The sequence below is a fragment of the Homo sapiens genome, chromosome 18 (genome assembly GCF_000001405.40).
Source record: "Homo sapiens chromosome 18, GRCh38.p14 Primary Assembly".
NCBI lineage: Eukaryota > Metazoa > Chordata > Mammalia > Primates > Hominidae > Homo > Homo sapiens.
Window position 1 is genome coordinate 29,462,460 of NC_000018.10, and position 14,131 is coordinate 29,476,590.

A 14,131-nucleotide genomic window follows, 5' to 3' on the forward strand; every position below is an offset into this window, starting at 1 on the left:
ATTCTTAGTCGTTGACAGAACTCCCGGGAATGTTATGTTGAGACACAGTTAGAAGTTTTATATAGACTTCATGAAAATAAGTGTTATGACTAAATAGCAATCTTTGCCATAAACAAGGGCAGGGAAATGGTGTGAACTTTTTGGCCAATCCTGAATATGTCTTTTTCAGATAAACATAGTTGGTAAGCCAGAATTCAATATTTAAGGTCTAAAAATAAAGAAATTAGATGTTGGTGAATTATGCATATATAAATATGTATGTATATATATTTAATTAGTGGGTTTCTGCTCATAATTGTTAATGATAATGGTCAAGATAATCTTTGTGGGCTGTCAAATTGAAAGGATTTTGAATTTTAGCAATTAATTTATATTAATGATTATATAAATCTGGATGAGGAAAAGAGGTACAAGAGGAGCTGCAACTTAAGAAATTTTATAGAATGGGAGAAATGCATTGAGAAGGCTCAGTCTTGCCAAATTTTTTGGTAGTCATTCGAGTGGCCCAAAATCCACTTACAGAGCAACATAGCTATGGAATAACCTTCTGCATCTCTAGGTTCAGAAGGTGTTTCATTAGTCAGCCCGAGGTACAATTTTATTTTGACTTGTTTGGATTTGCCAGTAAGGATATAGCTGAAAAACACAATTACTAGAACCAGACTACCACACACAATGAAAGAAATTCAACAAGTCACCTACATTTTGTGTCTTAATGTCCTCATCTGTAAAATGAGGTTTCAAATAATATCTATTTGACAGAGCTGTTCTTGGTACCAAATGGGTGATCTTATGGAAAATCCCTGAACTGAGAGTCATATCATCTCCTTTTCATTCTTGTTCCACACCTAAGTATTTGAATCCTTTAGATAATTCATTTGATACATATGGCTTAGATAATTATTGCCATTATCATCATCATCATCATCATCATCATCATCATCATTGTATAGAAATCATTGGGCACTTTTATATCCCAGATACTGTTTAAAGTACTTGAAATGCATTATTCTATCCCCACAAAAGGCCTATAGGGTATATAAATACAAAATGAAGTATATTCAAACTATAAATATTTATAGTTCTGTGATCCTGACTTGATTATATCCAAATGGCACAAGCCTTTCCTCATAGAGACAAATCAAGCAATCAAATTAAAATACAGAGAGTAGGAAGCAAGATTATAATCACATACTACCAAAATAATCATTCAGTGAAATGTAAAACAATTTGATGTTTATCTTTTTTTTTTTTTTTTTTTTTTTTGAGACTGAATGTCGCTCTGTGGCCCAGGCTGGAGTGCCGTGGTGCGATCTTGGCTCACTGCAAGCTCCACCTCCCGGGTTCACGCCATTCTCCTGCCTAAGCCTCCCCAGTAGCTGGGACTACAGGTGCCCGCCACCACGCCCAGCTATTTTTTTTTTTTTTGTATTTTTAGTACAGACGGGGTTTCACTGTGTTAGCCAGGATGGTCTCCATCTGCTGACCTCGTGATCCGCCCGCCTCCGCCTCCGCCTCCGCCTCCGCCTCCCAAAGTGCTGGGATTACAAGTGTGAGCCACTGCACCTGGCCTGATGTTTGCCATTTAAAGTGAAATATTAATGTCTGTCTTGTTTATTTATTGTCTACAACATGTTGATCAATTGTTCTAAACTTACCCCAAATTTTATTTCATATAGAAAAATATTGGATCTCTGTTAGAATTCCAAATTTATGTCGTATTTATCACTTTTAAATTTCCAATATATTATTTTGCATAGAATTGATAAGATGCCGCATACTGCTGAAATAAGCAAAGCACTATCATATGAGTTTACAAAAATTAGGTAGATTATAAATAGATTGAAAAAAACATATTTTTTCAATCTGTTTCAATAAAGAAAAACAAAATTAGTGGTATGTAATTAGCTATTCTCTAAAACTTGACAACGAAACAGCAGCATTAGAAAAACCCACCTGGGGATCTGGGGAGATGTATATGAAAGGACACAAATTTCAATTAGATAGGAGAAATAAGTTCAAGAGAGCTATTACACATCATGATAATTATAATTAATAACAACATATTGCATAATTGAAAATTGCTGATAAAAAAGATTTTAAGTGTTCTCACATTAAAAAGATCAGTATGTGGGGAAATGTATATGTTAATAGGTTGTTATAACCAATCAACAATGCATACATACATTAAAACATAATTTTGCACACCATAACTATGCATAATTTTTGTCAATTAAAAAATAAAATAAAAAATAGAATTATAATATTCTCAGAGTAGATTTCTAATATACAATAAACTAGAGTTAGATAATCAGTCACTCTTTTTCCAAGGGATTCTTTTGAGATAACTGTTCTAAATTTCCAAAGTTTCTAAAATGAAAATTCCTTTAGTGTGTTTATCTCTCTATATACAATTTGTTGGCATATATAATACATCTGCCAATAATTGCCATTTTAAATTACTGTAATCCTTAGGCACATTTAGAAAAGTGAAAGTGTAAATGAAACAATATTTACATATGTAGAATACAAGTCACATAGAGATTATCTAAAATCAAAAAGATTAAATTGGATACAGTTGGATCAACTCTTTAGTGTGTTTTATTTCTTAGAGATAAAATATTTTACCTGGACACTAATATAAAAGTTAAAAAAAGGGGAGTCTGATTTAGTCTCATATTACAATTAATGCCACCTACTAAGTTCTCTCCTTGTCTCCTTAAGATTGAAGGAAAAGGCTTGGAGGCAATGGTGGTTGTGGGGAGTGTCTGCCAACAGGCACCCACGTTCATTCATTGTACACTGATTGTCTTGAATCTGCAACTTCTTTAAGGACAATAAAAGTATTTAAAACAGAAAAAAAATATGTAGTGCCTCCCCCAAAAAATCACCCCACAAAATTGAAAGCAGTGAATGTTTATCTACAAAAAAGACCAATGTGTCAATTTTATTCACTTCATCTCAATTCTTGTATCTAAATTATCTTTAACATGAGCCCAGGGTATTTTTTAACAGGTTTTGTATTATATAATTGTAAAATTAAGAGTTTCTAGAATCTATGAAAAGCTTACAAATTGCTTTGACTATGGAAACCATTTTTCTAAATCAGTTGGCAAATAATCAGATAGCAAAGAGACCCATAATGGAGGTTACTGATAGAAATTATCTTAGGAGTTGCAGCATTTTGAGATAGTTTGCTTGCAACTTTAATGCCTTTAATTGGATTTTACTGTGAAGTGAGGCTGCTTACCCAGTGATCTACCCTCCTGGAAATCTGCCTTGACAGATGGTTCTTAGTAATTACTACAATCATGGTACCCCAACTTACAACTCTCACTTCAAAGTAATTCCTATTCATGAAGACTATATTAGAGAAAAAGGCATACTTTAAGGAATTAAAAATTTTAAGCTTGAGAAAATTTATGAAGTTATTATTGATGTACTACATAAATAGTATCTTGAAGATATTAGAAAGCATTAGGCAATTTATTATTCTTTAAATGATATGCCCTCTATGTCTCATATAGAGCAAATACATTTATGGAACCCCTCCTTGTCCCAAAGGGAAGAAAAAGTAATATTTCAGCCAATGAACTTTAAGAGCTTTTAAAATAAATTTATAGCCAATAATCTATTTGTAGTATTTAATCTAATTGGAATACAAATACATATTTAAAATCACATACACCTGCACCTTCATATATTATGTATGTGTATGTGAAAATATGTCAAATTCAAGACACAATTTTATTTGAATTTTTGTCTTTACTGTTAGAGCTGTGTGTTGACTCTAACACAGTTGTCTAGAACATGTCACCTTTACTGCAGTCTTTGAGCTCTTCTAGTTTTAAAATCTATAAATGTCACTACCTTTGGAAATTTGAACCCAAACCAATAGTATTCATTTTTATAATATTAAGTTTTTAATATCTATAATAATATTATCCTGAATGCAAACATCAAGTCCTGTAAGCAGAGAAGATTACTGTTATTCACATATATACAAATGTACCTGATCCCCTTTAATAGTAATAAAAAGATATAATTTATAATGGGAAAATGGAACATTTCTACTAATATAAAAATACATTTTTGAGTGAATAAAATATTTAATTATATATCTTCATATATTTTCAGGCACCGTGGCTCATGCCTGTAATCCCAGCATTTTGGGAGGCTGAGGTGGGAGGATCACGAGGTCAGGAGTTTGAAACCAGCCTGGCCAGCATGGTGAAACCCGGTCTCTACTAAAAATACAAAAATTCGCTGTGCATGGTGGTGTGCACCTGTAGTCCCAGCTACTCGGTGAGGCTGAGGCAGGAGAATCACTTGCACCCAGGAGGCAGAGGTTGTGGTGAGCTGAGCTCCTGCTACTGCACTCCAGCCTAGGTGACAGAACGAGACTCCATCTCAAAATAAATAAATAAATAAATAAATAAATAAAATATATCTTCATATTTACACACACACACATATATGTAAAAGTTACAAGAAAATCTCTAACTCTACCTAGGGAAATAAATGACATGTAATAGAAAACATACTTGGTGCCTGAATACAATGATCTTAATTGCACTTACATTTCAATATGATGAAATTCCAATCAAGCGAAATCCCAAAAATTTTCCTTGAGAAAGTATCCAATTTGTTTCAAGAAAAAATATTACAATTATAGAAACACAAAAAAGATATTAAATGTGTTCTAAAATGCAGTCCAAAGCATTGTCTGCTAAAATTTCTGAAAACTACCTGCTAGTATTGTAGCATGCCTTTGATTGTTATTGACTGTCTACGCTATTTCATATAAATCTGTAGAGATAGAACTTAAGTTGTAGAAAAGTATTTCCTGTCAATAATAAGACAAGTGATTCTTGCCCGTACAAATGCAAATTACTATTTTGTAAAGATACAATTGGTTTTCTACCTTTAGAAATATTGACTATAAACATTATAAAAAATGACTATAAGTATTATATATGTATTTGGTATTTTAATATTATTGGATATTAACCAGTTGTGCACCCATTACAAAGTTCATTTCAGCATTCTTGATTGCATGTTTGTATGCATGTATATGTGTCTTAATTTTCATTTGAATGGGTTGCAACATCTTATTGATTCCTTTATTGAATAATGGATGAAAATCTTTGACATGAATAAATTATATTTGCATGAAGGTCATAATTTTTTCTGTTTGTAAATTATAAGCAGGCAGTTTTGGATGTCCAGGATACTGACATTGATACAATCAAACTATGGAACACTTCAATCCTCCCCAAAATCCCTTATCTTCCCCTTCTGTGGCCACACCCACTTAAAAAAATAAATATTGTAGTGTATATGTGAGGTTCACAACATGATGCTATAGAATGCATATAAATAGTAAAATGGTTACTATCATGAAACAAATTAACATATCTATTATCTCACGTAGTTACTTTCTTGGGTGACAAGAGCAGTTAATATCCCTAAGACAATGCAATTTTATTTACTATAGTCCTTAAGTTCTACATTAGATCTCTAGACTTATTTCAGTCTATGTATCTGCTACTTTGTATCCTTTGACCTACATTTCCTATGTCCTACCTCTTCAACCCTGGCAACCATTGTTTCATTCTCCATATCCGTATATTTGACCCTTTTTTTTTTTCCAGATTATACCTATAAAGTACACCATGCAAAAACTACATGCTTCCATTGCGGCATGCAGGGTTTTTTTTTTCTGTGTCTAGTTTATTTCATTTTGCATAATGTTCTCCGGCTCCATCAATGTCATGGCAAATGGCAGGGCCTCCCTTTTTTTTTTTTCCGTACTGAAAGGTATTCCATTTGTGTATAGGCACTACATTTTCTTTACTCATTTATCCATGGATGAGCACTTAGGTTGTTTCCATATTTTGGCTATTGTGAATAATGCTGCAATGAACGTGGAAATGCAGATGCCTTTATGCAATGACGATTTTATCTTCCTTTGGTGTCTACCCAGAAGAGGGATTGCTGGGTTACATGGTAGTTCTATTTTCAATTTCTTTAGAAAACTTTATATTGTTTTTGATAATGCTTGCGTCACTCTACATTTTCACCAACCATGTGGTAGGGCTCCCTTTCTTCCACACGTCACACCCGCTTCTAACTTTCCCCACCCCTTCCTTAACCTCCACAACCAAGATTCTCTTCTCCATTTCTAGCTTTTGTCAGTTCAAAAATGCTACATAAATGGAATCATAGAGTATGTAATCTTTTAGAAATAGCTTTATCCATGCAGTATAATTTTCTGGAGATTGAACCAGGTGGTTGCTGGTATCAATATGCCATTCCTTTTACTACTGATTGCATGGTATAGATGAACTACAAGGTATGGATGTACTACAAATCGTTTACCCATTCACAGGTTCAATGACATCTGCATTGCTTCATTTGGAGCCATTAAGCATGAAGCTTCTGTAAATATTTGCCTGTAGGTTTCTGTATGAATATATAATTTCATTATTGGGGAATAATTCCTTAGGAGTATAACTGTTATGTTGTACAACAGCTGAATGTTTAGTGTTTTGAAGAAGTGGCCAAAATGTTTTGTGGAGAGGCTGTATCATTTTATATTCCTACCAGCAATGTGTGAATATCCAGTTTCCCCACGTTTGCCAGCATGTGGTATTGTTTTTGTTTGTTTATTTCTTTAAGCCATCCTGATAAGTCTGTAGTGGTATCTCATTTTACTTTTAATATGGATTTCCGCAATCACTAATGATGAACAAGTTTTTATGGGTTTTAACCATATGTATATCTTCTTCCATGAAATATCTCTTTATGTATTTTGCCCATTTTCTCAATCAGACTATTTTTTAAATATTGAGATTTGAGAATTTAAAAAAAATTCTGGATGCTATTTTTTGTCAAATATGTGGTTTTCAAATGTTCTCTCCCAGTGTTCAGCTTGTATTTTCATCTTCTTATTGGATCTTTTACAGAGTTTACATTTTCAATATTGTTGAAGTCCAATTTATCAATTTTTCCTTTCATCCATCTTTCTTTTGGTATCAAGTTTAAGAACACTTGGATTAGCCTTAGTTCACAAAGATTTTCTCCTACATTTTCCCAAAAGTTTTATGCTCTTATATTTTACAGGTAAATCTGTGATCCATTTTGAGTTCAGTTTTGTATAACATGGAGGGTTTCAGTTGAGCTTTATTTATTTATTTTTCACCAAAGAAACTCCAGCAATATTTGTTGAAAGGTTATATTTCCTCCATTGAATTGCTTTGGGGCCTTTCTTGAAAGTATCTTGTGGATCTTTTCCTGAATTTTATATTCTGTATTACTTATCTATATGTTTATCTTTTCACCAATATCAAACAGTTTTGTTTACTAGAGCTATGTAATAAATCTTAAAATTGGTTAGACTGAAGTTTTCTACATTATTCTATTTCTAAAATTTGCTGGGCTATTCTAGTTCCTTTGCTCTCCAATACAGATTTTAGAATAACCTTAGATATATTTACAAAAACCTACTGGGATTTTAATAAGAATTGCATAAATTTGGCATATCTGTTTGGAAATAATTGACATTTTTACCAAGACAAGTCTTCCATTCCACAAACATGTTATTCCTTTCCATATATTTAGATCATTTTAATTTCTTTATTCAGGATTTGGTTGTCTTTAACATACACATTCTGCACATGATTTGTTAGGTTTTCATGTAAATATATTTATTTTTAGTGATTCTAAATTATATTGTATTTTTATTTCAAATCTATATGTTTATGACTAGTATATAGGAATATAATTTTTGGTATGCTGATCTTGTATCCTGCAACCTGATGCTCCAAGGTTTCTTCTTTTATCTGTTTTTTTGTTTGTTTCTGTGTAGAGATCTTCCTTTAGGCATTCTTTTAGGTCTGCTAGTAATACATTCTCTCAGTTTTCTTTCATCTGAGAATGTCTTCATTTTTTTCTTCATTCTTGAAAGATATTTATACTGGATATAGACTCTTCAATGATAGTTCTTTCTCTTCTGCACTTGAAAAATGTGATACCACTTCTCTGTCGCCTCTATGGTTTCTGATTTCTGAAAGTCTTCTGTCACCTGAATTGTTTTCCCTTAGTATAATTTGTTTCTCTGTCCCTGATTTCCAGATTTGTTTTTGCCTTTACTTTCAAAGTTTGGCTATGCCATGACTTGTTGAGGATTACTTTGGGTTTGTCAAGTTTGTGGTTCACTCAGCTTCTTGAATCTTCTGCCAAATTTAGGAAGCTTTCAATTTTTTTATTCCTTTGAATACTTTTTAATCCTCATGCTATTTCTCCTATCCTTCCAGAAATCTGCTGATGTGACTGTTAGATCTTTTGCTGTATTTCAATAGATAGTTACAGCTCTGTTGGTTTTTTCAACCTGCTATCTCGTTATTGTTGAGATTGAGGAATTTCTATTTTTCTAACTTATAATCATCTGACTCTTCCCTTTGTCCCTTCCATTCAGGTGTTGAGCATGGCAATTATTATTTTATGTATTTATGTATTTATGTATTTATTTATTTATTTTTGAGATGGAGTTTCGCTCTTTTTGCCCAGGTTGCCCAGTGCAATGGTGCAATCTTGGCTCACTGCAACCTCTGCCTCCCAGGTTCAAGCGATTCTCCTGCCTCAGCCTCCCGAGTAGCTGCGATTGCAGGCACCTACCACCAAGCAAGGCTAACTTTTTTTTTTTTTTTGTATTTTTTGTAGAGACAGGGTTTCACCATCTTGGCCAGGCTGGTCTTGAACTCCTGACTTCATGATCCACCTGCCTCGGCCTCCCTAAGTGCTGGGATTACAGGTGTGAGCCACCACGCCTGGCCCCATTATTATTTAAAATTTTGTCATTGTATTTTTAAGTTCTCGATTTCTGTTTGGTTCTTCTTTTTATCTTAACTGTTTTTCTGAGACTTGTTTTCTTTATCAGGAATTTCTAGTTGTTTCATTTCCTTCTAATATTTATGTAATTCCTCATTGCAACATTTTAATGATTCTGCCTTAAATATTTTCCAGATAATTCTAACATCTCTGTTACTGTATTGCTATCATCTATTTATTGGTCTTAAATTCATTTTAAGATCTTCTTCATTCTTGTTATGATGAGATAGTTTTATATTGAAACTGGAACATTTTGGATATTGTTATAAGACTTTTAGATCTTATTTAAACCTTCAGTTTTATTGGTGATAAAGCAAAAACTTGAACCAAATTAAATTTAAAGGAATTTGAGCGCTGAATGATTTGTGAATTGGGCAGCTGTTCCCAGCCAGAGTAGGTTGGGAGCACAGCACACGTGGTAGAAGATTTATGGACAGAAAAAGGAAACTGGCCTACAGAAAACGGAAGTGAGGTACAAAAACAGCTGGATCGGATACAGCTCAGCATTTGCCTTATTTGAACACAGTTCAAACAGTGGTTCCATTTGATTGGCCAAAACTCGGTGATTGGCACAAGTGTAGGCTACAGTCTGTATACAACTCCATTTAGGTTATAGTTCACGTTGTACAGAGAAACCTTTAGGCTGAACTTAAAATATGTAAGGAGGCAGCTTTAGGCTTAACTCGATTTAACACTGGCTTCTTCTTCTAGAACTTCAGCAGAGAAAGTCAAGATAAAACCTTGTGGATGCCATGTTTCAGCTGGACTGTGGTGAAAGTCTTGCATTCCACTGAATGTTCTCTATTCTACCCTAGTGGGGAAGGAGAGGACTTTTCATTACTGCTGGTGGGAGTTTAAAAAAAAAAAAGAAAAGACAATCAATCCATACTCCCCATATGGTCTCCACTGACTATATAATGTGGGGCCTTCCTAGTGTTTCTTCTCTGACTCATTCCATCAGTAGTATGGGTATCATTACAGCCTGGAAAAGGCAAAAATGTAGGCTTCCACCAAGCCTGTTTTGGCACAGTTGGGAATAGGGCCATAGGTTTTTACCAGGAGTAGAAGAGTTACTATTTAAAATTTCAAGTCTTGCTAATCTGCTCCATGCCCGATTCTTTGGATAGGAAGCGCAGGTTTTTGTTGGGTTTATTTATTCATTTTGTCTGCACTCATCAGTGATCCCCAGTTTCCAGCTTCCTCACCTCTATATCTGGGATATGTGAGGGGGAAAGAAAACCCACGGAATTCATTGCTGTGTTCCTTGTTCCTTGGGTCTTAAGGGCTCTAGTAGGTCTCATTTCTCCTCTTCACCATTCAGAGTATTCATATGTTTGTTTATATAAAATGTTCTAGGCTTTTAGCTGTACTTAGTGGTAGGGATCTGGAATAGTGTGACTACTTTATCTTCCCAGAAGTGGAAATATCAAATGGGAAGACTTTATGCTTCTGTATTTAACTTGACATTTGACTAAAATGGTCGAATTGAAAGTCTAAGTTGTCTTTGTTTCAGAGTTTCTTTCTGTCTGTGTGTCTCTAATTGAAAATGGCTTAAACTCTCATGACGTGAGTATGAATAATTTTTCTACCTCCAAGAAGTATTAATACATTAGATGATATCATCTTTTAAATTAAACAATCTCTGTTCTAACAGGTTTAAAAATTGAAAGATGTACTTCTATTAATATAATATTGTCCAAACTCAGACTATAAAGAAATCCAGACTCTAATAATCTAAATGTCTTTGGCTTTAAGAAAAATTATTCTTTTTCAGATGGGTAGATTACTAAATTTTTTCCCATTCTGTAGGTTGCCTGTTCACTCTGATGATAGTTTCTTTTGCTATGCAGGGGCTCTTTAGTTTAATTAGAACCCATTTGGCAATTTTGGCTTTTGTTGCAATTACTTTTGGTGCTTTTGTCATGAAGTCTTTGCCCATTGCCTAAGTTTTCTTCTAGGGTATTTATGCTTTGGGGTTTTACATTTAAGTCTTTAATGCATCTTGAGTTAATTTTTGTACAAAGTGTAAGGAAGGGGCCTAGTTTCAGTTTTCTGCATATGGCTAGCCAATTTTCCCAGCTATTTACTGAATAGGAGATCCTTTCCCCATTGCTTGTTTTTGCCAGGTGTGTCAAAGATCAGATGGTTGTAGATGTGTGGTGTTATTTCTGAGGTCTCTGTTCTGCTCCATTGGTGTGTATGTCTGTTTTGGTACCAGTACCATGCTGTTTCGGTTATTGTAGCCTTGTAGTATAGTTTGAAGTCAGGTAGCGTGATGTCTCTAGCTTTGTTCTTTTTGCTTAGGATTGTCTTGGCTATACAGAGTCTTCTTTGATTCCACATGAAATTTAAAATAGTTTTTTCTAATTCTGTGAAGAATATCAATGGTAGTTTTATGGGAATAGCATTGAATCTATAAATTACTTTGGGCAGTGTGGCCATTTTCAAGATATTGATTCTTCCTATCCATGAGGGTGGAATGTTTTTCCATTTGTTTGAGTCCTCTCTTATTTCCTTGAGCAGTGGTTTGTAGTTCTCCTTGAAGAGGTCCCTCACATCCCTTTTAACTGTATTCCTAGGTATTTTATTCTCTTTGTAGCAATTGTGAATTGAAGTTCATTCATGATTTGATTTGGCTCACTGCTTGCCAATTGTCTAACATCCAGAATTTACCAGGAACTGAAAAATATTTACAAGAAAGAGACAAACAACCTCATCAAAAAGTGGGCAAAGGATAAGAATGGACACTTCTCAAAAGAAGATATTTATGTGGCCAAAAAAAAAAAAACACATGAAAAAGAGCTCAACATCACTGATCATCAGAGAAATGCAAATCAAAACCAAAATGAGATACCATCTCACAATAGTCAGAATGGCGATTATTTAAAGGTCAGGAAACAATAGATGCTGGGGAGGCTGTGGAGAAATAGGAACGCTTTTACACTGTTGGTGGGACTGCAAATTAGTTCAACCATTGTGGAAGACAGTATGGTGATTCCTCAAGGATCTGGAACCAGAAATACCATTTGACCCAGCAATCCCATTGCTGGGTAAATACCCAAAGGAATATAAATCATTCTACTATAAAGACACATGTGCAGATATATTTACTGCAGAACTATTTAAAATAGCAAAGACATGGAATCAACCCAAATGTCCATCAACAATAGACTGGATAAAGAAAATGTGGTACATATACAACATGGAATACTATGCAGCCATAAAAAGGAATGAGATCATGTCCTTTGCAGGGACATGGATGAAGCTGGAAGCCATCATCCTCATCAAACTAACACAGTAACAGAACACCAAATACCATGTGTTCTCAGTCATAAGTGGGAGTCGAACATTGAAAAAACATTAACACAGAGAGGGGAAAAACACACACCAGGGCCTTTTGCGGGTGAGGGATGAGGGGAGGGAAATTAGAGGACGGGTCAATAGCTGCAGCAAACTTTCATGGCACACGTATACCTACGTACCAAACCTGCACGTTCTGCACAGGTATCCCATTCTTTTTTAGAAGAAATAAAGAAAAAAAAAGAATTATTCAGAAACTCAAAAATATGTTAAAAACACAAATTATCATAATAAAGTTAAATATTTGAAAAATCAGATTAATTTAATAATTTTGGTTTAAAACATTTTAGTTGATTTTTTATCTAAGTTGTCAATGATAAACATAATGTAAACATACATTTCCTTTTTAAGACTTAACAAGACTAGTTTTCTGAAATTCCTAAGCAATGCAGGTTTACTGATGAAATAAGCTAACATACTTTTATGTGATGTTTAAGATTATAAGAAATATAGTGGGTTAAACAAAATTGATTTATTTTTCAGATCAACTTTTTTTTATGTCAACAGAAAAATACTTGGATAACTTTAAACCCTGAATTAATATATAATGGACTTAACTGGTGGAAAATCATTGAATGCCTAGATAAAATCTAAGTAATCTGTATTGCTAAAGCTGATTACTAAGCATAATTATAATTCTTTCTACGTTTTATTTTTATTTTTATATGATATAGAGAAGTGGCCTTCATTTTAGTTCATGCTAATGAATGTTTTCATTTTTTTGGCCATTTTAAGAGGTGTAACAGGAATGTTCATGCCTGTAAGAAAAAATATTTCAATTTGTATAAGGTATAATAATGCAAGATAAAGCTCTAAAGATTTGCTACATGACATAATGACTATAGTTAACAATACATTCATGTGCACCTAAAATGTTATTAAAAGAGTGATTCTCATATTGTGTTTTTAGCACGCACAAATAAAAAAAAGACTCAAGAAAATTTTTGGATGTAATGGCTGTCTGTTACATTGATTATGGTGATGACTTCACAGGTGTATGCAGATGTCTGAACTCATCAAATTGTATGCAATTAATATGTTCAGTTTTGTATATCAATTGCACATCAATAAAGAAGTTGTGACATTTGTATTTATGACCTCTGTGAGTCTGCAAAAATACTTTTGTATAACAGAGTTCTCATTGATCTGTTTTCTGATTTTGTCTATGAAATAGAAGTTAGTTATTTTAGGTAAAAAATATAATTAATATGTTTGATAAAGACTATACTAGGAGCCATAGTGACAGTGGATTATAACTGTGTGGTTTTTTAAAAAAAATTAAGGAAAGAAGGACTAGTTTCATCCAAAAGTAAAGTCTCAATTTTTTTCAGAACATGACAGAGCATGGCAAAAAGCACAAAACATGAGAACAATGAATTTTAATTTCCATAGTTTATAATACTAAGTCATAGAAAGTCATAAAATAAGCAGTGGAATGTGTTAAAATCTTGTCAAAGTTTTTCAGATTGGGTGAGCTTCCTGATTAAATTCTCTGCCTTGTATGTAAACTGTCTAGAAAGCAGCAATTCTATATATTACCAGAATAATTTTCTGAATTTATATTAACTTTATCATGTTCTTGATTATTACAAAATGCAAGGGATAAAGCTTTACGTATAAAAGATCGAAACTGCTTTAGTAGAATTCCTTATGTTTCTATGTTTATTTTAAAATATCTTATTGTCACTGATTAAATAAGTATTATTTCTCAGGCACTCATAATAATATCTTAATTATGTACACCTCTTTGGACAAAATTGTTTTATTAAAAACATATCTTAAATTTAAAAAACAGTTTGCAAAATTATATCTTAAATTTAGAAAAACTAAAATAACATTTCAAGATATCTTTTATAGTTAAAGTAAGACCACTGAAAAA